The 23,452-nt window shown below is 37.1% G+C and overlaps 1 protein-coding gene across 18 annotated transcripts in view; it reads left to right on the top strand.

The window, feature by feature from the left end:
• BRAF (B-Raf proto-oncogene, serine/threonine kinase) overlaps window positions 1-23,452 on the top strand; it is a 211,602-nt gene that overhangs the window by 81,224 nt on the left and 106,926 nt on the right. For 17 of the 18 annotated variants that reach the window (NM_001378474.1, NM_001378470.1, NM_001378471.1 and 14 more), the window contains one exon: window positions 8,834-9,097. The exons of the other annotated variant lie outside the window; for it this stretch is intronic. In NM_001378474.1, coding sequence (NP_001365403.1) covers window positions 8,834-9,097 — 264 coding nt within the window. The remainder of the gene's footprint in view (window positions 1-8,833; window positions 9,098-23,452) is intronic. 18 annotated transcript variants of the gene reach the window in all.

Genomic DNA, 23,452 nt, shown 5'->3' with positions numbered 1-23,452 from the left:
TATGTATATACAGACATATAGGTATGTACATGTGTATATATGTATGTGTTGTATATATATAAATAAATGTTGAAAAATAAATATTGGAAGATAAATGTTCTAGAAAGCAGAGTAAAAGCAGAGAGATGGGAAATTTTAGAGGAAACATGAGAAAAATTAAGGAATAAATCCCAATCCATAAAAATTATAAATGCGTTTAACTGCAAGAAACAGAACCCTTCAAGAATAAGTTTCTGGAACAAATAGGGATTTTCATTTCCTTTCACATAGCAAGAAGCGTAGAGGTAAATTATTGTAAGACTAGTTCTACACAGGTCAGTTGTCAGATACTTGGTTGAATCGCTATAGTCCCTTTAGCTTTTCTGTCAAGACCACAGCAGATTTTTAAGATCTTTCCCTCATACAACTCCTCAAAGCAGAAAGCAGAGAACAGAGAAGTTCTCTTGTATACTAAGCTCTTGCTAGGAAGAAAATCTTTCTCAAAAATCCTCTATAACTCTTCCTTTTATATCTCATTGACTAGAATGAGGTCACATATCACCCCTATACTAGTGACTATGCTTACATTTCCTGAAGTAAGAGTCTAATAAGTCAAAAATTTCCAGTGTTCAGTTTTTCTTCAGATTAGTTTGTATGCTGTCAAGTAGAAGTTGTGCTATGATTATTTTATTCTATAACATTTCAACAGAAACCCCTTTTAAGTTTCTATAGGAAGATAAATCTTCAACTACTTATTCTTGCTTCTTCTCTTCATTGTAGCAAAACAGAGAAATTGGTTACACCACCATCAGAAATCCTCTTGATTTTCTTTTTCCCACGTACTAATTTATTTAAAAGCCATCTTTTCAGTTCTAGATGTTCTCCTACTGGCAGATAACAGTTAACATTCTATTGATTCCCTTGATGATAACTACAGTGAAATATGAGATACAGTACTCTAAAGAATTTCAAATTTGTCTTCTCAGTTGATCTTTGGTTCCCTTTTTTCTACCATCATCCAAAGGAAGAAAAGATAAATTTACTCTGAAAAGTTGTTCCCCAGAGTTTCTTCATTTCCTCTCAGTGTTTCCATATTCATTTATCCAACAAATTATTGGAATGCCTTCTATGTGTAAGATATAATGCTAGATGCTTTTCTAGTAGTAGATTCTTCTTTCTGTACTTGATTTATTGGAGCCCAGAGATGAAGGGATACTGTCTCTGTAATCACCCTACAGCTGAGTCCTAACTACTTCAGAATTTATGGTTGAATCCTACAGTCCCCTGTAGACTGATGAAGACAGTAACAGCTCCTGACATTTACTGAGTATTTACTATGTATCAGGTACTAATCATATATTAGTTCATTTAATCTTCAGCCTACCCTTTGAGTTACACTTAACTATTCTCATTTTCATTTTATAAATGAAGCAATTCAGGCACAGAGGGATTTAATAATATGGCCAAGGTTACACAACTTGTAATTGGTAGCCAAGGTTTGAATCCCAGACATTCTGAATTTACAGCCCATGCGTTTAATCACCGTATCATTCTTACACTTGGCAGCCTTTCTGATTTTTAGTCTATATAGAACCTAGAATAATACAGAGGCATTGTGTCAAACCCTTCAATGAAATTAATACTGGAAGCTGGATGCTTCCTGTGGAATGCAGAACAGTCCATTATATATCATTTATGGGCAGTTTGTAAGATTTCATTGTATCTTGTGAGAGTAAGAATAATTAGACTAAATTTAATTAACTAAATGATAAAAAATAAAATTTTTATTTCGCTGCTTTTTCTCATTACATTGAAATTAAATAGATCCTTAGATTTTTTTCCCTTCTGTTTTAATTGAGAAATAATTCACATACTATACGATTAACTTTTTAAAACTGTGTAATTCAGTGGTTTTTACTATATTCACCACTATCTTATTCCAAAACATTTTTATCACTCCCCAAAAGAAACCCTTTATGCATTAGTAGTCATTCCCTGCAGCCCCTGACAACCACTGATCTACTTTTTGCCTTTATGGATTTGCTGGTTGAAATATTTCATATAAATAGAATTATATTATGTGGCCTTTTGTGACTGGCTGCTTTTACTTAATGTAATGTTTCCAAAGTTTGTTTATGTAGTAGTATGTATCAGTACTTCATTTCTTGTTATGGCTGAATATTTCATCATACACATATATCATGTTTTGTTTATCCATTCATCAACTGATGAACATTTGGGCTACTTATATGTTTTTGCCATTATGAATAATGCCACCATGAACATTCACGTGCAAGTTTTTGTGTAGATATATTTTCATTTTTCCTGGCTGTATGCCTAGGAATAGAATTGCTGGGTCTTGTGGTAACTCTGTTTTACACTTTGAGGAACTAACTGCCAGACAGTTTTTCAAAGTTGCTGCACTATTTTGTATTCCTAACAGCAATGTATGAGGGTTACAGTTTCTCTCCATCCTCATCAACCCTTGTTATTATCTATTTGTTTTTTTAATTAAAGCCATCTTAGTAGGTGTGAATTGGTATTTCATTTGGTTTTGATTTGCAGTTTCCTAATGACTAATAATATAGAACATCTTTTCATGTTCTTGTTAGCCATTTGTATATCTTCTTTGGAGAAATGTCTATTCAAATCCTTTGCCCACTTAAAAAAACTGGGTTTGTCCTTTTATTACTGAGTTGTAAGAGTTCTTTAGGCCAGGCATGGTGGCTCACACCTGTAATCCCAGCACTTTGGGAGGCTGAGGTGGATGGATCACTTGAGTCCAGGAGTTCGAGATCAGCCTAGGCAACATGGCGAAACCCCGTCTCTACAAAAAATACAAAAATTATCCAGGCGTGGTGGTGCATGCCTGTAGTCCCACCTGCCCGGGAGGCTGAGATGGGAGGATCGCTTGAGCCTGGGAGGCGGAAGTTGCAGTGAGCCAAGATGGCAGAGTCACCCAGGCTGGAATGCAGGGGCACCATCTCGACTGACTGCAACCTCTACCTCCTAGGCTCAAGCCATCCTCCCACCTCAGCCTCCCGGGCAGCTGGGACTACAGGCATGCGTCACTGTGCCTGGATAATTTTTGTATTTTTTGTAGAGATGGGGATTTGCCATGTTGCCCAGGCTGGTCTCGAACACCTGGACTCAAGCAATCCTCCCGCCTTGGCCTCCCAAAGTGCTGGGATTACAGGTATGAGCCACCGCACCTGGCCAGGAGTTCTTTATATATTCTAGATAGTAGATCCATGACTTGCAAATATTTTCTCCCATTCTGTGGTATTTTTTCCCACTCTTTCAATTTTGTCTTTTGAAGTACAAAAGTTTAAATGTGGATGGAATTCCAATTTATCTATTTTAAAGTTTAAATGTGGATGGAATTCCAATTTATCTATTTTCTGTGGTTGCTGTGCTTTTGGTGTATCATACATGAGAGACCATTGCCTAATCAAAGGTCAGGATGATTTACTCCTGTGTTTTTTTCCTAAGAGTTTTATAGTATTAGTTATATAGCCAAAACAGGTTTAGTTGCTTGCTGCCTGCAGAGTCCAATTAGTAAGAGCAAAGTCTAGTATAAAGTGACTTTTTTATTCCAAAGTTAGCTTAAAGGAAGAAGACGTACAGGCTTCCTGCCTTAAGGGTACTGCTTCCCTGTTGGAGCAGAAAGTGGGTGCTTTTAAAGAAGGTGCCTACACGGGGGCAGAAATGAGCGGGTGGAAGATCTGCATATTCCCTTCGGTGCCTTCTTTCTCAGGCAGTCAAGTTGGTGGCTTCATGGGCAAAAATACCTCAGAGGTGGCTGAAAACTCTAGCAGTCTTACTTTTGGTTGTAGATCAACTATTACCTCTTGAGGCAACTTCCTGACGGGTGAGAGTTCCACTCAGGATTGTCTAAGCACATAATTAGATCAACTTGCCTTGTAGGGAATGTCTGGTGAAAAGGAGATAAAAGGCCATAATTGCATTTCTTTTATTCTTTTATCTTTTTCTTTTTGAAACAGAATCTCATTCTGTCACTCAGGTTGGAGTGTAGTGGCATGATCTCGGCTCATTGCAGCCTCTACCTCCTGGGCTCAGGCGATCCTCCCGCTTCAGCCTCCTGGGTTGCTGGGACTATATGTGCATGCCACCATGCCCAGCCAAGTTTCATATTTTTTTTAGAGATGGGGTTTCACCATGTTTCCCAGGCTAGCCTCAAACTCCTGGGCTCAAGTGATCTGCCTGCCTTGGCCTCCCAAAGTACTGGGATTACTGGTGTGAGCCACCACCCCTGGCATATAATTGCATTTCTAAAGAGCTAAGTAGGAAGTGGGGAGGAGGAGGAAAGAAAAAAATAATTAAACTTTTTCTTAGAAAAATGAGGGTGCTCAATTATATAATAGATATGTGACCCATTTTGTTTTGTTTTTAATTTTTGTAAAGATGGAGTCTATGTTGCCCAGTCAGGTCTTGAACTCCTGGCCTCGAGTGATCCTCCAGCGTTGACCTCCCAAAGAGCTGGGATTGCAGGCGTGAGCCAACATGCCTGGCCTATTTCGAGTTAGTTTTTGGATATGTTGTGAGGTAGTAGCCCAACTTCATTCTTCTGTGTGTGGATATTCAGTTGTACCAGCGCCAGTTGTTGAAGAGACCATTCTTTCTGCATTGAATTGTCTTGCTGGCTTTGTAAAAAAAAAAAATCAATTGACTGTAAATGTAAGGTTTTATTTCTTGTTCTATTGAGAAATAATTCACATACTATATTATTCACTTTTTTAAAGTGTGTAATTCAGTGGTTCTTAGTGTATTTACACAATGGACAACTGTCACCACTATCTGATTCTAAAATATTTTTATCATTCCCACAAAGAAACCCTTCATGCATTGGAAGTCATTCCCTCCAGCCCCTGACAACCACTGATCTACTTTTTGCCTTTATGGATTTACTAGTTGTACCTTGTTCTATTCTGTTCTATATGTGTGTTCTTATTCCAAAATTATTGCGCTGTCTTGATTACTATAGTTTTATAGTTAAGTTTTGGAATCAGGAAGTATAAGTCCTCCAACTTCTTTTTTCTTTTATAAGATTGTTTTGATAATTTCAAGTCCGTTGTATTTCCATATGAATTTTAAGATCAGCTTGTCAGTTTCTACAAAAAAAAATTGAGATTTTGAGAAGGATTGCATTGAATCTGTAGATCAACTTGGGAAGCGTTGTCATTTTAATGATATTAAGTCTTCTTAGATTCTTTTTTCTTTTTTGAGATGGAGTCTTGCTCTCGTTGCCAGGCTGGAGTGCAGTGGCGTGATCTCAACTCACTGCAACCTCCGCCTCCCAGGTTATCAATTATTACTAATACAAATATTTATTGGATTTTTGCTATGTGGTAGTCTCTACAATAATTTGTTTTACTTGTGTTATCTCATTTAATCCTCACAAAATTATTTTGAAGTTGAGAAAAATTTGCCATATAAAGAAGAGTATGATAAAATATTCTAAAGGAGATAAAGAGAAAGGATACCTCTTCTGGATTTTGACAAAGAGAGCTTAGAATTAGACTTTTTGAAAAATATTTAGAGTTTTGATGAGAAGGAATAGGGTTTTTGAACAACTGTCTCCTGAAGAAGTGGTATCTGGTATCTGCAGCATCTTGAATAACCAAAAGAAATGGTGGTGGTGGTTGTGGTTGAGGTTTGCACATATGTTGGAGTGGCTTGCTCATATTAGTAGAGTGAGAAAACAGAGGAAAAGGGAAAAGTAGATGATATGAGAGAAAACTGAGGGAATGGTAGACTAAGGCCCTAAACACCCAATATTAGCACTGAAGTGAGAGTAGAAGAAGAATGGGGAAAGATGTGGAGAATTTTGTAGATAAAGAAGTAGAGTAAACTTTTCATTTGATGACTTTGATCTTCAGAGTGGATTTGAAGGTAATGTTATTTTCAGAGTGAATTAAAAGTTGAAGGATGAAGTTAAGATCCAGAGAAGAATTAGGAAGATTGGAATAACTGTTTTGACTGTAATATGATGTTAAAAACAAGCATGATTTTCAGGCAGTAGTGTGAAGGACCAGGCAAATCTAAGTTCCATAAATTGATCATAGAACTAATTAGACCAGTTTTATTATTTTCTCCAACAGTGTGTGGTAACCTGACAGGAAAAAATAGAACAATTGAATGGTCAGACTTACCCAAAATTTGTATCTGGCAAGCTAGTTGATAAAATAACAAGAATTAGCCTGAAAATCTTAAGATATCACCAATGGCATTGTTGTAGTTGTGAGCCGCAAAGTATGTGAAGGAAGACAACAATGGCCAAATCTTAGCAACTGTTTGAGAGATTAATGTTGACCTTGAACAGATTAATGTAATGAGATAGACATTTAAGAAGTTGGGATAAGTATGTGTGCCCCAGGGGTGCGTGAGGTTCTAAATCGAGATCATTTCATCATTTTTATTGCTTTTGTAAAGACTGTGATGCTTCTCCGGGTCTTAAAGGTAGAATGGAAATAAATGCTTTTAGAGGTGAGAGGTTTAGAGAAATCTATGGCAGTGTTAAAAGAGTAATTGAAGTTCATATTGAATGCAGCAAGGGCAGTAGGTAAAATGAGCCAGGGGCCTTGGTAGATTGCAGCTTTGAGGATAGGGACAGATGGAATAAGTAGATGTTTTGTACTTAACAAAAGGAAAAGCTATTGATAGATGTGGTGAAGTGATAGTTTATAATCTGTCATGGAGGGATCAGTATACTTTCAAAAATTAAAGCTAACATTTTGGTAAGGAAATATGTTTGGAAAATTGTTCTTTTCATTACTTTTCCTAAGGTTTATTTTGTCTAGTAACTGTACTTGCTCAGGTGACAGTAAATAAGAATATTTTATCCATGCAGGAGGAACCTTTGTGTTCCAGACTGCATTTATGTGATCTTCAAAGAGTAGGAATTGTGTTTGTCTTATGTGTGGTTGTAGTCTGAGCCCTAACAGTGCCAAGCACATGTATCAGTATATATTTACTGAGTGATTGAAGGCTCAATAAATAAATTTTATTGAGAGAAGTATGCTTAAGTAATTAGGCCTTGGTACTGAAAGCTAAACCAAATTGTAGCTCAGAAAATTTGGAATCTATCTGTTTATAATGCCCTCATCTACTATGAAACAGGGTCTGGGTAGGGCAACTAGCAGGCTGTAAACAAAGAAGACCTTTTGATGAAGTTTAAATCTCTTCCTCAGTAGCTCTTGTTACTATTCCCCGCCCCCCTTATTTGTTCGAAAGTATGTGGTAAGATGCAGCATAGCAGGGTCCTGTGGCCCTTATTGAAATGAAATTTCTCTTTCATTCTCCTCTACATTTTATAATTCTCCCTTCCTCCCTTACATTCAGACTTGATAGCATGGCGTATATACTCTCTACAATCTATTCCCTTTCACCTTTTCAGCCTTATTGTTTCTTTACCTATTTTTCATTTAAATTTCTTTCTTTCCTTTTTAAGAAAACAGGGATGCTGCTAAAGCTTCATTTAAATTTCACAAACATATATTGATCTTTTGCTATGTCCCAGGTATTGTATGACATTGAGCTATACCTATCTATAGTTTTTCATGTGTCTTAAACTTTCTCGCCTTTGTTACAGAAAAAACAAACTCTTTGTTACAGAATTTTTCCCATATAGAGGATTCCTTCCTCCCTACTTTCTTCATCCATCTAAATGCCAACCTTTCAAGGCTGTCCTCCTTCCTCATTATTACTTTGTGTCAAGAATATTGTTTATTTCTCATGTACATCAGTTACACAAATAAAAATACACCCATCCTACTCCACTGCCCAACAGTAAACTCCTTGAGAGACGGGAAAGGCCATTTTAAAATATTTGCTTCTCTCTTTCATAAATGTTTGTAGTATTGCATCTATTTGAGATGGTAGGTAGAAATAGTAGAGCATGGTGTGAGTGAGGGGATTACCAATGCCAAAAAGAACTATGGACTTGTATATTCCAATTCGTTCAATGTCATTCTGTTCTTTTAAAATTTGATATCTTGTATGGTTGCTTGACTTTATAGCCTTCATCAAATGAAACTTCTAGGAAGATACTCTGATGGATAGTAGCCCCATAATTTCTTGGCTGTAGGGTATAAGCCACATTTTCAAATACAATTCTGTTTTTTTTTTTTCTTTTTTCACAAGGCTTACAGCTTTGCATACTAGTTCCAATCTCTAAGCAGCATTAGGTGGGGAAAGAAGTCATCAAACAGCCATACTGAGAAGAGTAAAGTATTTTAACTGATAACTATTCCAGAAAGAATGTGGCAGTTACACATCTTCTAAACCCTATTAAGGAGGTTTTGGTACTAACAGTGAGATCTGGTACTGTGTCCTAAATTTTGGGGTTTTTTTGGACAAATCCTTAATACCTCATGTCCTTTTCAACTTCTTTTTCTGTTGAGAGAGAGAGAGAACGAATGGAATTCATATGCCTACAACTTTTCCGGGACAAAATAATTCTTTTAATGGGAGGAACACTTTTCCTTGATACAGTGTTTTATCTTACGTTAGACATGATTTGGAAGGTAAATATAAGTGGACCAGAAAATTGGAAATACTGTGCTTTTTTATTATTCATGGACCATCTAGATATCACATATGTATAGGTCAAATTTATCAGGTGTAATATAGTGTAGTGTCTAATAACAAAGAATTTATCAATTTAAAGGTGAAAGTATTCATTTATAGTATTTCTGGCACTTATTTTGTAATTTGAAACTTAAAACCCTATCAACTGGTGAAAAGATTATAATCAAAGGCTAAAATTTTATATTCTCTTTTGTTAATGTCAGGACAAAGTCCGGATTGAATATAAGTCTGCTTTATTTTATAGGCCTATGAAGAATACACCAGCAAGCTAGATGCACTCCAACAAAGAGAACAACAGTTATTGGAATCTCTGGGGAACGGAACTGATTTTTCTGTTTCTAGCTCTGCATCAATGGATACCGTTACATCTTCTTCCTCTTCTAGCCTTTCAGTGCTACCTTCATCTCTTTCAGTTTTTCAAAATCCCACAGATGTGGCACGGAGCAACCCCAAGTCACCACAAAAACCTATCGTTAGAGTCTTCCTGCCCAACAAACAGAGGACAGTGGTGAGTCAGTTTTAATATCACCATTTTGCTGTTTCTTTGTATTTTTCAGACAGATCAGTTGTTGAAAATTAATATATTATTACTTCATACTCAGAGGTCATGCAAATAGAGGCATCCATGTCATACAGGAATGAAAAATATGTAATTATTTGGTGGCAAAGTCTATATTCCTTAACTGAAATAAATGGTATTGTCTCTAGTGTTGGATTTGACATTTAAACCTGTCTGCCAAACTTGAACCACAGTCATGTCTAAGCACTAGTTTAAAATAAATCAGGATTTTAAGACTTGAGCTTGTTCATTATCTAATGTGTGTCAGGTAAGACTCATTCTTCACCCTTGAGAAATCTCCTTTCTGAGTTATATTATCAGATGTTGAACGTTCAGTGTGATTGATATGTTTCCCCTCATCTACTTCATTTTTGGTTGTTGAATATTAGTATTAACCATTGGAACAGCGTACCCTGTAAGTAACATTTGAAGCATTTAAAGAGAAATCTGTGGAATTATTGTGGGTGGTCTATAATCCTTAAGTGCAACGAATATTGTTAGTAGACTTAATAAGTAACCCATCTGTATACATCACTACTTTTTAAATGTCTGTGGTTACTTTTGACAATAAAAATTCCAAATACAACTGAAGTCAAAATTTTTCATTTTTTTTCTCTGACAACAGAAATCAAAAGTGCAATTGGTCATTGTTTAATGTTCCAAAAATTCCTTTCTGACTTGAAAAAAAAATGTTATTATAGAGGCATTTTACTTTCAGAAGTTAAGAATTCCTGCATATGAGTTTAGAAAACTAATGGAGTTACGAGTTACCAGCCTGTAAGTTTTTATCTTAGGAAATATGGCTTTCTAAAGGCATCATTTATTGTCAGGGAATAAAAAGTAATAAAATAAAAAGTCATACTTTTTCTGCCCTTTTTCCATGTACAGACAAAAGTTGGTTGTAAAAAATAGACTCTAATTTTTCATTGTACAGAATTACAAATCAATTTGTAAAACAAATCCAGTTCTACCCTTTCTCTTTATTCTGTTGGGTAGAATAAAATTAAAATTATTTTTCCCACATTAAGATGGGGAATTACTAAGCATATCTTTCCAGGGATGCCCCACTTAAAAGGGGAATATCAACATATGAATTATCTGTAAATAGATAATCTTCGAAGCAGCCTAACAAAACTGGCAAACATCCCATCCCCAGTAGATCTTAAATTAATTCTTTATTGTCTGTATTCATGAGCAGAAAGTAGGAAATGTGTTCTTCAGTCCCAGGCGTTTCCCTTCTCTTCATCACGGTATTGTTCCTTCCAGGTTCCACTCAACTTAGTAATTTTGTGAGTTTCTGTATACAAATGTAAAATTGGGGTTGTTGGAGCCTTTCAAATTTCTCAACCTAATGATTAAGTTTAACTAGCCTCCGGCCGGGCACAGTGGCTCGTGCCTGTAATCCCAGCACTTTGGAAGGCTGAGGCGGGCAGATCACGAGGTCAGGAGGTCAGGAGATCGAGACAGTCCTGGCTAACACACGGTGAAACCTTGGCTCTACTAAAAATACAAAAAGATTAGCGGGGCGTGGTGGTGGGTGCCTGTAGTCCCAGCTAATTTGGAGGCTGAGGCAGGATAGTGCTGTGAACCCGGGAGGCGGAGCTTGCAGTGAGCCGAGATCGCGCCACTGCACTCCAGCCTGGGCAACAGAGCGAGACTCCATCTCAAAAAAAAAAAAAAAAGGTTTAACTAGCCTCCTCATATTTATGAGAGAGGCCAAGAGAAATTTACAGGTATCACTAAAGCTTATAATTTCCCTTTTAAAAAGAAATAAAAACAACTGAGACTCTTCAAAGATGTAAAATGATAAATGAATAACTATTAGGCAATTGACTAGGCTTACCTTAATTATCCTGGCTAGGCTTAGATTAAATAAGTAACTTGTTCTTGTCCGTCATACTCCCAGTTTAACAATTCGTATTCAATACTCAGAAAAACTGTATATCGTGAACTTAAAAGGCCTTATGAATCATCAGTAAATGGGTTTGTGGTATTAAACTCTTTCAAGAACGTTATTTTGCCATTCTCTCTTTTATCTGAATCTGTTAACCCTTTTCTTAACTACCTCTTTTCCTCTCCTTTTCTTCTCTCAATTCTTATTAACATTAACAGTTACTATTTGAGCATTTGCCATGCTGTGTTCCAAGTTCTGTGCTAAGGACTTTACATACATCTTCTCAGCCAGGATAATTCACATTCTAAGTAAAATTGTTTGTGGTAGTGAATGACAGTTCCTCTATCAAAATACATGTTTCTGTTTGTCCTGAACACTCAGGAACAAAGGGCAGTAGAACCTACTAGCAGCAAATGAAATCAAGTACCAAGAATGAGATTATGTTTTTTAAAGTGGACTTAGATTTGTAGTCCAAGATAGCACGCTAAACACTTGCCTTTATATCTTTGTTCCTTTCCAGAAATTTCATTGAAATGATAGTAAAGATATGTAAAAAGAATAATAAAACAGGATAGGATTCTGTCAGAGAACTAGAAATTTTTAAGAATTCCTGGAAGATGGAAAATATATGAATGGTTACGTAAATAAGCCAAAATAGAAAACCAAACAAAATACTAGGAGCTAGATTCTTACATGAAGGGAGCCATTCTTAGCAAAATCCTGATGAAGCAGATAGCATAGTCAGCAGATTACAAAGAAGTGGATTTGCCTCTTGGGTAGTCGTCAGAGTAATTAGTCGAAGGTCTTGCTCTGGCAGGAAGACAAAGTCATGTGTCTTCATAAATCGAGCTGGTGATATAAATATGAATATTTTGAAGGTGTGTGTTAGTTGTGAGTCCTGTGGAGAACCAAAACAAACCTCAACTAAAAACATTGAAATTCTGAATTCAAAAAAAATTTTTTAAAGGTCATGGCCTGATATTTTTAGACATCTGATAATGGGTTGCTGAGTCCTGAGTCCCCAGTATAGCCTTACATTGCACATGTCCATAGAGATGTGAATGTTGCCTCCTGGAGTTGTACAACAAGGGGATCCTGTTAGTTCCTCTTCTGTATATATGGAACAAATAATTTGTAGCATTTATTCCATGAAAAAGCTCTAAAAGTCGTTTTCTAAACAAAATTTCTGCCTGGAGAGTTCTATGTGACTGCTGTGTGTGTTTAAATGGTGGAACTGAACATCAGATGTCCCTGAACCTCAGAGAAATCCAGTGGGGTAAAAAGTAAACGTTAATCTACCGAGGAGTAAAATAATACTCTGCTTCCATCTGGAATATACCAGACTTCTTCTCACGTCTGTACCCATTAGTAATCTGTTTGGAAAACAAACTGCTTTCCCCTACTATACTGTCAACACAACAAATTTTTGTGACTAGATGTGTGGGGGTGTTTTTCCCCACCAAGCAATCTCCAGTTCTCTGTAGATAATCAACTGGGTTCTCCACCCAATTGTCTGCAATTGTTGTTAAGTTGCCTTCAATTTAACTCAATTCTGACACTATCTACCCAGGTATAGCATAGACCCCACAGGTTAAGAGCTCAGTCCCACAAGACTGTCCCCCTCTTGAGATGCTAGTCCCAAGTTCCAGGTTGTGACTTACACTTCTGACCAGCTGGCTATAAATCAAGGATTCCCACATCTTCTAATCTTTGATCATTTGCTAGAATAGCTCACAGAACTTCAAGAAACACTTAACATTTACTGGTTTGCTATAAAGGATGTTACAAGAGGTAAAAGACGAACAGCCAGATGGAAGAAATGCATAGGGAAAGGTATGTGGGAAGGGATGCAGAGCTTCTGTGCTCTCTTTAGGAGCATCACCTTCCACTACCTCCAAATGTTCAGCACCCTGGAAGCTCTAGGAACATTGCATTTCAGTGATTTTTATGGAAGCTTCATCATATAGGTGTGATATTTACTAGGTCAATCTCCACGACCTCCCCACTTCTCAGAGGTTGGTGGATGGGGCTGAAAGTTCACATTATGGCTTGGTCTTTCTTTTGACCACCTTCCATTCAGGAACCCACCAAAACTCACCTTGTTGGAACAAAAGATGCTCCTACCACCTAGGAAATTCCAAGGGAATCAGAGCTCTGTGTCAGGAACCAAGGTCAAAGACAAATATGAGAACAAAAGATGCACCTGGCACCCTGATCACTCAGGAAATTACAAGAGTTTTAGGAGCTCTGTGCCTAGAACTGGGGTTGGAGGCCAAAGGGTTGAAGACCAAAATATATATTATTATAAACCACAATATCAGAGTTTGTCAACATAATAAACCACTTGCCATTTGTTGGACCTATACAACTGTACAGGAGTAAGTCCACACCAAATCAACCTAATTTTTATTTATAAATATGACTAGAACACCAACAGCAACAGAGAAAACTCAAGAAAAGAAAGCAACTAGAAGATGTAAAAATATTATAGCTCAGGATGTACTTCATTCTTGAAGCCAAATCAGTTTGATATAAAAATTGAGTCATTCAGAGGACCACAGAGTTTGTGCAAATTGAAAGTATGATTGTTGACTTTTGTTAAACAGAAAGGCCAAACATTAGGATAGCTAGAGTTAATAAGTATTTTGGAAAGTAAAGCTAAAGACATACCTTTTAAGATATGAGATAAAGTGGGCAAATATGAGAAAAAAGATAAGAGACATGGAGAGAGCAAAAGTTCCAACTTCTGTTTAATAAAGAAGCAAACAAAAATAGAGGGAAGATGTATTCACAGACATAATACAGGAAAATTTTCCTGTGTTAAACAAAAACCAGCCTTCAGATAGATAGGGGCAACTGACTGTCAACAGGAAAACAAAAACAGAGATTGACCTGGATACTTGCTGTATAATTCGAAAGTTGAAAGAGAACCTTTTCAGAAAGATAAACTGGTAATCTGCGGGAGAATGAAAACTGGATCGTTTTCTCATTGGCAAACTGAGGGCTAGAAGGCAGTGGATCAGGGCCATTAAAGATCTGATGGAAGTTAATAGCCAAGCTAATATTAAAAGTAAGACACTTTGGGTATCTAGGGACTGAAAATTATTTCAGTGGAATATAATAGGTATCTAGAAATAGATCCCAGAATTTCAGAAAATGTAATATGAAAAAAATGGTTCAATCAGTAAGAAGAAGGTGAATTATTTAATTTTTGGTGCTGGCATATGTAGAAGAAAATAAAATTGGGCCCACATCTTAGACTGCTTACAAAAGTAAATTCTATCAGAATCAAGAGATTAAATACCAAAAAAAAAAAAAAATGTAAATCTTTCAAGAAAAATCTAGTAGGCTGCATGTAAAATCTAGGAGTTGAGGTCACTATCTTAATCAAAACTTAATTAGCTCAAAAGCTGTAGGAGACAGATGGATTAAATACAATTTTGAAATTATGTATGCCCCCCCCCACAAAAAAAAAACCTTAACAGAGTCAATAGTCTGTATAAATTTGGAAACAGCATTGGTGCCCAGATACCAAGAAGTAAATAGTCTTCTGAATATACAAAGAACACTTCAAAATTGGCAAGAAAAAGACAAAACCCAGCAGAAAAATAGGGAAAAGATATAAATAGGCAGTTCGTATAAGATGAAATCCAAATGAACAGTAAAGCATGTGAACACTGTTCAGATGCAGTCAGTCAGTTGTGAGTGTACAAATTAAAACTATGAGATCATTTCATCTGTCTGGCAAAATATAAATTATTATTGGCAGGGGTGTAGTGAGAAAACTGCTCCCTTAGTTAAGGATAGAAATGTGAAGTATCACAGCTTATTGGAAAGCACTTTGATAATATCTGTCAAAATTTACAAGAACTGTATCTTCCAAGCCAGTACTCCATCTATTGGGAATTTAGCACATAAAAGCACCAATATTTATACAAGGATATTTGTTAAATCATCGTAATAAGAAAAAAATATAGAATGTCATCAGTAGAGAAATGGTTGTATAAATCATGGTACAGCCACACCATGTAGTACAATGCAGCCTGTGAAAAGACTTGTACTTGAAGGTTTTTCTGAGAGGTATTATAATTGAGAAAAGGAAAGCTGTTGGAAACTCTGATATTACTTACTTATTCTTTATGTATATCACATTGCAATATTCTAGTAGGTCTAGAAATATCTCTCTCAACTAGAAATGCTGAATAAAATATGTTTATTTAAATGTATAGCTGAGCTCAATAGAAAAACCTATAGAGGGTGAAAACAAAGACGGAGTTGAAAAAACCAGAAAAGCATAGGAGCTGATATGTTAAGGTATCGCTGAACTATAACCCTCAACAAATCTAACCCACCATCTATTTTTGTATGGCCTGCGAACTAAGAATGGATTTTACATTTTTAAATGCTTGAAAAAAGTTAAAGGAATAATAGTATTTCATAATCTATGAAAATCACACGAAATACAAATTTTGGCCAGGTACGGTAGCTCATGCCTGTAATCTCAGCATGGGAGGCTGAGGGGAGTGGATCACCTGAGGTCAGGAGTTCTAGACCAGCCTGGCCAACATGGTGAAACCCACATCTCTACTATAAATACAAAATTGGCCGGGTGTGGTGCCGCATGCCTGTAACCCAGCTATTTGGGAGGCTGAGGCAGGAGAATCGCTTGAACCTGGGAGGTGGAGGTTGCGGTGAGCCGAGATTGCGCCGTTGCACTCCAGCCGGGGCAACAAGAGCAAAACTCCATCTCAAAAAAAAATAAATAAATAAAATTTCAGTGTCCATCAGTAAAATGTTATTGGAACACAACAATGCTAATCTGTTTATATGTTGTCTGTGGCTGGTTTCATGCTTTAGCAGTGGTGTTGAGCAGTTGTACATCACAGTGTAATCTACAGAACCTCTGGTTCTTTATGGAAGAAGTTTGCTGACCTCTGCGGTCGTGGCCTCAGGTGGGCCAGTTTGTCACTCTGGAACAAAGGATGTGAATATCAATGTGTGGGAATACAACACTGGGCCTTCAGCCTGTGTCACAAAGGTAGTTGGAACCCAGATTCTCACATAAAGCTGACCCTTTGAAGGACATTACCTTCAGTGAAAGGCTGAAATCTATTACCAGAATACATAAAGATAACAATAAACTTGACTGTCTTTGACAGTACTCTAAATAAAGTTTCCCCTGTGATTTTTTAACTATGGACCTATTCTCATCATTGTGTGGGATTCAAATTTATACTGCCTGCATTGTCCAGGAACCCTCAAGCCATGAAGTGGACATAACGACTGGTCTTGGAGTGGTAATAGCACTCAGGCACTGCACAGAAGCAATGGAAACCCTCCCTCAGCCCGTCTAGGTCTCATAGAATTCACAGAAATAATGCTTTACTGACTATCTCAAGATCTCAAGTTGTAAGACATGCAAGGAAACAGTCTACAATCAGTGAGTTAGCAGACTTAAAACAGCAGGGTTAGACTCCTAAGAAAGAACCAAGTAGAACTTTTAGGTAGTCTTGATTTAAACCTCATCATCTATGAAGTATTCTTGCTTGGATTGGGACCTTCTATTTTATAAGAAACACAGGGGATAGAGGAAAAAGGTAAGCACCATGAGGAAACAATTAGACAATTCAGAATGTTGACTTCCTGTAAGACAATAGCCCTAGACTCCTTGATAAGTTAATGTCTTGGACAATAAAAAGGTTGGGGATTATTCCACACTGTACAAGACCAAGTGCACATAACAACCAAATGCAGTGTGTAATCCTGAGGGGGGAAGAATCATTCTTGGGACTTGGGAAATTTTTAACATTGATTGAATACTACATATTGTTATGGAATTAACGTTCTTAAATGTGAGGATGGTAACGTAATTATATAGGAGAATGTCCTTGTTCTTAGGAATTACATGTATAAGTATTTAGGAGTAAAGTGTTAGGATGACTGCAACTTCCCCCGCAAACCCACGCTTTTTTGAGATGGAACTTATACACAGTAGAGGGTACAAATCTGAAGTATATCGCTCAGAGTTTTTACATGTGTAACTACCATGTAGATTAAGATGTAGGACATTTCCTGATGCTTTAGAGGGTTCTCCTGTGCCCCTCCCAATTCACTAAAAATAACCACTATTTCATTTCTATCTCTGTCAGTTACTTGGAAACTTAACTTCAAATGGTGTGATGGAAATCAACATGCAGAGAAAGAGAAAAGCAAATACGAAAAGATAATCTTAGAATCTAAGAAAATTTCGATGTTAATTGTACCATTTGTTCAGATTTTCTGTCTGAAATTTTTTGTAATAGAGTTGGAAAAATTGAAAACATAGAAAAAAAGAAATGTAGAAAGTTCAAAAGAAACAGTTATCTCTAGGAAAAAAGAGTGAACATACTGATACTCATTTGAGGATGTAGCAAGATAACACTTTAAGTAAAATTTCAGTATGTCAAGTTAGTTACAGCAAATTACATAGGAAATGTTTAAATGTCACATAGAAATTCAAATATTTATTTAAAAAACTCAGTGAATAAGGTAAAGCTAGATTAAACCCAGCCAAAGAATGAATTAGTGAACTCTGGAAAGTGAAGAAAGAGAGTTATAGAAAATATAAAAGAGAGGTTAAGCAGTATGAAAAATGGAATGAGCATTATATGCCTCAAAGAGTTCCAAAAGGTAAGAATAGAAATAAATGAGTAGAGAAAAATTCAAATAAATTAGGGCTAACATTTACAAATGACATAAATCTAACGATTTGGGAAGCACAATCTCTGAGTTGGACAAACAATTTGAATCCAGGATAGACATAATAAAACCAAAGAATATTGTTTTAAAAGCACTCAGGGAAAAAATTATATAGAAAATAATTAAAATTAGACTAGGAAAATTTGTTATGGCAGTTGTAGAAATCAGAAAACAATAGAATAATATACTCAGAGTACTGAGAGGTACCTGTAAATCTCTCAGCTAAGTTAAGCTATAAATTTGATTAGGTTGACTTGGGCAAATGCACCATAAAGTCCTTTCCAGAGAAGGAGTTCACTTTTCATAGGTTCTACTTGAAGGAATTGTCCAAGAAGGTTTACTGTATAAAGGAAATTGAACACAGAAGGAATGAAAAGTAAAAATTAAACCTAAAATTTGCAGAAGAAAACACTACAGAAAATTTTTGTGACCTGGGGTTTGGCAAAGATTTCTTAAATATGACACCAGAAGCACAGTCTATAATGAACGTATTAGTTTATTGGGTTAATCAAAATGTAAAACTTCTGCTCTTCAAAAGACAGTATTAAGAGAATAAAAAGAGAAACCACAGATTGATAATCTTTGTAAGCCATGTATCTGATCAAGGACATGTAGAATATATAAAGAACTCTGAAAGCTCAATAGTAAGAAAACAAATGGCTGGGTGCGGAGGCTCATGCCTGTAATCCCAGCACTTTGGGAGGCTGAGGCAGGTGGATCATGAGGTCGGGAGTTCAAGACCAGCCTGGCCAAGATGGTGAAACCCCATCTTTACTAAAAATGCAAAAATTAGCTGGGCGTGGTGGCAGGCGCCTGTAACCCCAGCTGCTCGGGAGGCTGAGGCAGAAAATTGCTTGAGCTCGGGAGGCAGAGGTTGCAGTGAGCCGAGATTGCGCCACTGCACTCCAGCCTGGGCAACAGAGTGAGACTCCATCTCAAAAAAAAAAAAAAAGAAAAAACAACCCAATTAAAAACGGACAAAGGATTTGAACAGTTTCATCAAAGATATATGGATGGTAATAAACGCATGAGAAGACGCTCAACATTAGTCATTAGGAAAATGCAAATTAAATAGGCACGCGATACCCTTACATGCCTCCTAGAATGGCTGAAATTAGAGTGACCATACCAAGTATTAGTGGGGATGTGAAAGAACTAGAATTTCCGTACACTGCTGATAGGAGTGTTTAATTGGTACAACCACTTTGGAATAAAATTTGGCAGTTTATTTAATGAAACCTTTTCAAAATCCCAACGGGCTTTTTTTTTTTTTCCTCAGAAATAGAAAGTCCGTCCTAAAATTCATACCGTATCTCAAGGAATCCCGTATAGCCAAAGCAGTCAAAAAAAGTACAGAGTTGGGGGCATCATGCTTCCTGATCTCAAAACTTACTACAAAGTTAGAGTAATCAAAACTAAGTGGTACTGGCATGCAGACAGATGAGAGTCCTGAACTAAATCTTCACATTTATGGTCAAATGATCTTTGACAAGGGTACCAGGACCACTCCATGAAGTAAAGAGAATCTGTTCAGCAAATGATGCTGGCAACTGAATATCCACATGCAAAAGAATGAAGTGGTACCCTTCCCTTATACCATGTACAAAGAATAACCCAAAATGGATCAAAGACTTGAACATAACAGTTAAAGCCATAAAACTTTTACTACAAGAAAACATAGGAGAAAAGCATCATAACTTTGGATTTGTCAATGATTTCTTGGCCGTGATGCCAAAAGCCCAGGGAACACAAGAAAAAATGGAAAAATTGTACTATTATCAGAATTTAAAACTTCTGATCATCAAAGGATATAATCAACAGAGTGAAAAGCCAACCTGGAATGGGAAAAATATTTGCAAATCTTGTATCTGATAAGGGGTTAATATCCAGAATATAAAGAACTCCTGTAATAGCATACAACCTTGTTAAAAAATGGGCAGAGGACTTGAACAGACATTTCTTTAATGAAGATATCCAGATGGCCACGAGCATATGAAAAGATGCCCAACATTGCTAATTATTAGGAACATGCAAATCAAAACCACAAGGAGATACCACCTCACACCCATTAGGATGTCGGCTATCAGACAAAAAAGAAGATAACAAGAGTTGGCAAGGGTGTGGAGAAATTGGACCCCTGTTGCACTGTTGGTGGAAATGTAAAATGGAGCAACTGCTATGGAAAACAGTATAGAGGTTCCTCAAAAAACTAAAAATAGAATTACCATATAATCCATCAATTCTCCTTCTGTGTATATACCCAAAATAATTGAAAGCAGGATCTCAAAGAGATATTTGTACACTCATGTTCATAGCAGCATTATTCACTATAGTAGCCAAAGGCAGAAGCAACCCAGATTTCTGTTGATAGAGGAGTGGATGAACAAAATATGGTATGTATATACATTGGAATATTATTCAGCCTTAGGACATTCTAACACATACTACAACATGAGTAAATCTCAAGGACATTATGTTAAGTGAAATGAGCCAGTCATAAAACGACAAATACTGTATGATTCCACTTATTGAAGTACCTAGAGTGTTCAGACTCACAGAGACACAGAGTAGAATGGTGCTTGCCAGGGGCTGGGGGAAGGGGTGCTGGGGAGTTGTTTAATGGTTATAGAGTTTTAGTTTTGCAGGATGAAAAGAGTTCAGGAGATTGGTTGCACAACATTGTGAATGTACTTAACACTACTGAATTGTACACTTAAAAATGGTTGAAATGTTAAGCTTTATGTTAGATATATTTTACCATAATTTTGTGAAATAATAGTATGGTAGTTATGTAAAACGTTAGGCTGGACACGGTGGCTCACACCTGTAATCTCAGTGCTTTGGGAAGTCAAGGCGAGAGAATCACTTGAGACCAGGAGTTCCATACCAGCCAGGGCAACATAGTGAGACCCCATGTCTACAAAAAAAATTTTTAATTAGCCAGGAGTGGTGGTGTACATCTGTAGTCCTAGCTACCTGAGAGGCTGAAGCAGGAGGATCACTTGTGCCCAGGAGTTAAAAGCTACATTGTGCTATGTGCACCATTGCACTCCAGCCTGGGTGAAAGAGCAAGACCCTGTCCACCCCCACAAAAAGTCAGATGTACACTTAGCATATCACACAGCCCTTCTACTCCTCGGTATTTACCCAAGAGAAAAGGGAGCATATGTTCGTAGAAAGATTTGTATACGAATGTTCTTAGTTGCTTTGTCATAGCCCCAAACTGGAAATAACCCAAATGTCCATAAACAGGTGAATGGTTGGATTGTGGTGTATCTATAAAAGGGAATACTACTCAGTAGAAAGGAATGAACTGCTAATGCACACAACATAGATGAATCTCAAAGTAATTATGCTGAGTGAAAGAAGTCAGACAAAAAATGATTACACGTTTTAAAATTCAGTTTACATAAAATTCTAGAAAATGCAAACTCTTCTATAGTGACAACAGATTTGTATTTGCCTGGGCACAGGACTATGGCAGGATGGAAGATTTACATAGGAGCACAAGGAACCTTTCAGAAAGTGATGGGTATGTTCATTATCTTGAATGTGATGATGGTTGCATGGGTATATACGTAATCTCAAAATGTATCAAATTGTGTACTCTAAATCATTGCAGTTTATTGTATGTCAGTTGTACCTAGATAAATCTGTTTGTTTGTTTTTTAATAGCCTTTAAGAAAGCTGATAGTACTGTGGAAATATTATATGAAATAGACTTTGGGAGAAAGAATTATTATTAAAATTTTTTTTTCAACTTTTATTTTAGATTCAGGAGGTACATGCACAGCTTTGTTATCTGGGTATATTGCATGATGCTGAGGTTTGATGTACAAATGATCCCATCATCCAAGTACTGAGCATAGTAGCCAATAGTTTTTCAACCTTTGCCCTCCCCGCTCTAGTAGCCTCCGGTTTCTGTTATTGCTGTCTTTATGTCCATGAGTACCCAAAGTTTAGCTCCTACTTAGAAATGAGAACATTTGATATTTGGTTTTCTCTTCCTGTGTTAATTTGCTTAGGATAATGGCTTCCAGCTGCATCCAGGTTGCTGCAAAGGACATGATTTCATTCATTTTTGTGGCTGCATAGTATTCCATGGTGCATATGCCTTTGCTATTGTGAATAGTGCTGTGTTAAATATGTGGTTTTTTCGTAGAATGATTCATTTTCTTTTGGATGTATATATACCGAGCAATGAGACTGCTGGGTCGAATGGTAGTTCTATTTTAAGTTCTTTGAGAAATTTCCAAACTGCTTTCCACAGTGCCTAACCAATTTACATTCCCACCAACAGTGTACAAGCCTTCCCTTTTCTCTGCAGCTTTGCCAGCATCTGTTGTTTTTTGCCAGCACTTTGGGAGGTTGAGGCGGGAGGATCACTTGAGGTCAGGAGTTCGAGACCAGCCTGGCCAACATGGTGAAACCTCATCTCTACTAAAAATACAAAAAAAAAAATTAGCCAGCCATGGTGGTGCACACCTGTAATCCCAGTTACTTGGAGCTGAGGCAGGAGAATTGCTTGACCCTGGGAGGCACAGGTTGCAATGAGCTGAGATCCCACCACTGCACTCCAGCCTGGGTGACAGAGCGAGACTCTGTCTCAAAAAAAAAAAAAAAAAAAAAAATGTAATTCAGACGCTGGGTGTAGTGGCTTGCGCCTGTAATCCCAACACTTTGGGAGGCCAAGGCAGAAGGATTGCTTGAGCCCAGGAGTTCAAGACCAGCCTGGGCAATGTAACCAGACCCTGTCTCTACAAAAAATTAGCCAGGTGTGCTAGCATGAGTTTGTAGCCCCAGCTACTTGGGAGACTGAGGCGGGATAATCCAGGATTTTGAGGCTTCAGTAAGGTATGATTGTGCTGCTGCACTCCAGCCTGAGCAACTGAGTGAGTCCCTGTCTTAAAAAAAGACTTTCTAGATCCTGGAGTATGTGCAATAACTAAAAAGAATAAGCATATATGTTCCTTGAGATTTTTATTTTTAATTTTATTTTTTGAGAGTGAGTCTTGCCCAGAATGGAGTGCAGTGGTATAATCACAGCTAACTGCAGCCTTGACTTCTCAGGCTCAGGTGATCCTCCCATCTCACCCTCCAAGTAGCTGAGACCACAGGCGTGTGCCATGCCTAATTTTTAAATTTTTTTGTAGAGGTAGGGCCTTGCTATGTTGCCCAGGCTGGTCTCAAACTCTTGGGCTCAAGCAATCCTCCCTCTGTGGCCTCCCATAGTGCTGGGATTATAGGCATGAACCACTGCACCTGGCCCTGAGATATATTTGAATAATTGTAAAAATCTGTTAATTGGGGTTATTGGAGGGATGGGGATATTCCCTGGGACAAGAAAAAGGGACTGACCTTTTACTTTTATACTTGATACCCTTATTTCACATAATGCCAAGGTGTCTGTTTTTTATGATTGTTCAGGGTGATTATATATTTATTCATGTATTGTTTAGAGTAGTTGTATCTCATTTAGCTATTTCTTTCTTGATGGATAATTAGGTAATGTTGCAGTATATATTTAAGTACATATATCCTGAAACACTGTGGGAATACTTTTATTGGGGAAGATAAATACCTTGAAATAATTATTGGGTCATAGAATATACACACTGAAAACTTTGCGATAACTTAATATCAGAAAAGATTTTGATTCTCAACAAGTGTAT

The sequence above is a fragment of the Homo sapiens genome, chromosome 7, assembly GCF_000001405.40.
Source record: "Homo sapiens chromosome 7, GRCh38.p14 Primary Assembly".
Taxonomy (NCBI): Eukaryota; Metazoa; Chordata; class Mammalia; order Primates; family Hominidae; genus Homo; species Homo sapiens.
Note: the sequence above shows the minus strand (reverse complement) of the source record. Positions and strands in the feature narration are given on the sequence as shown.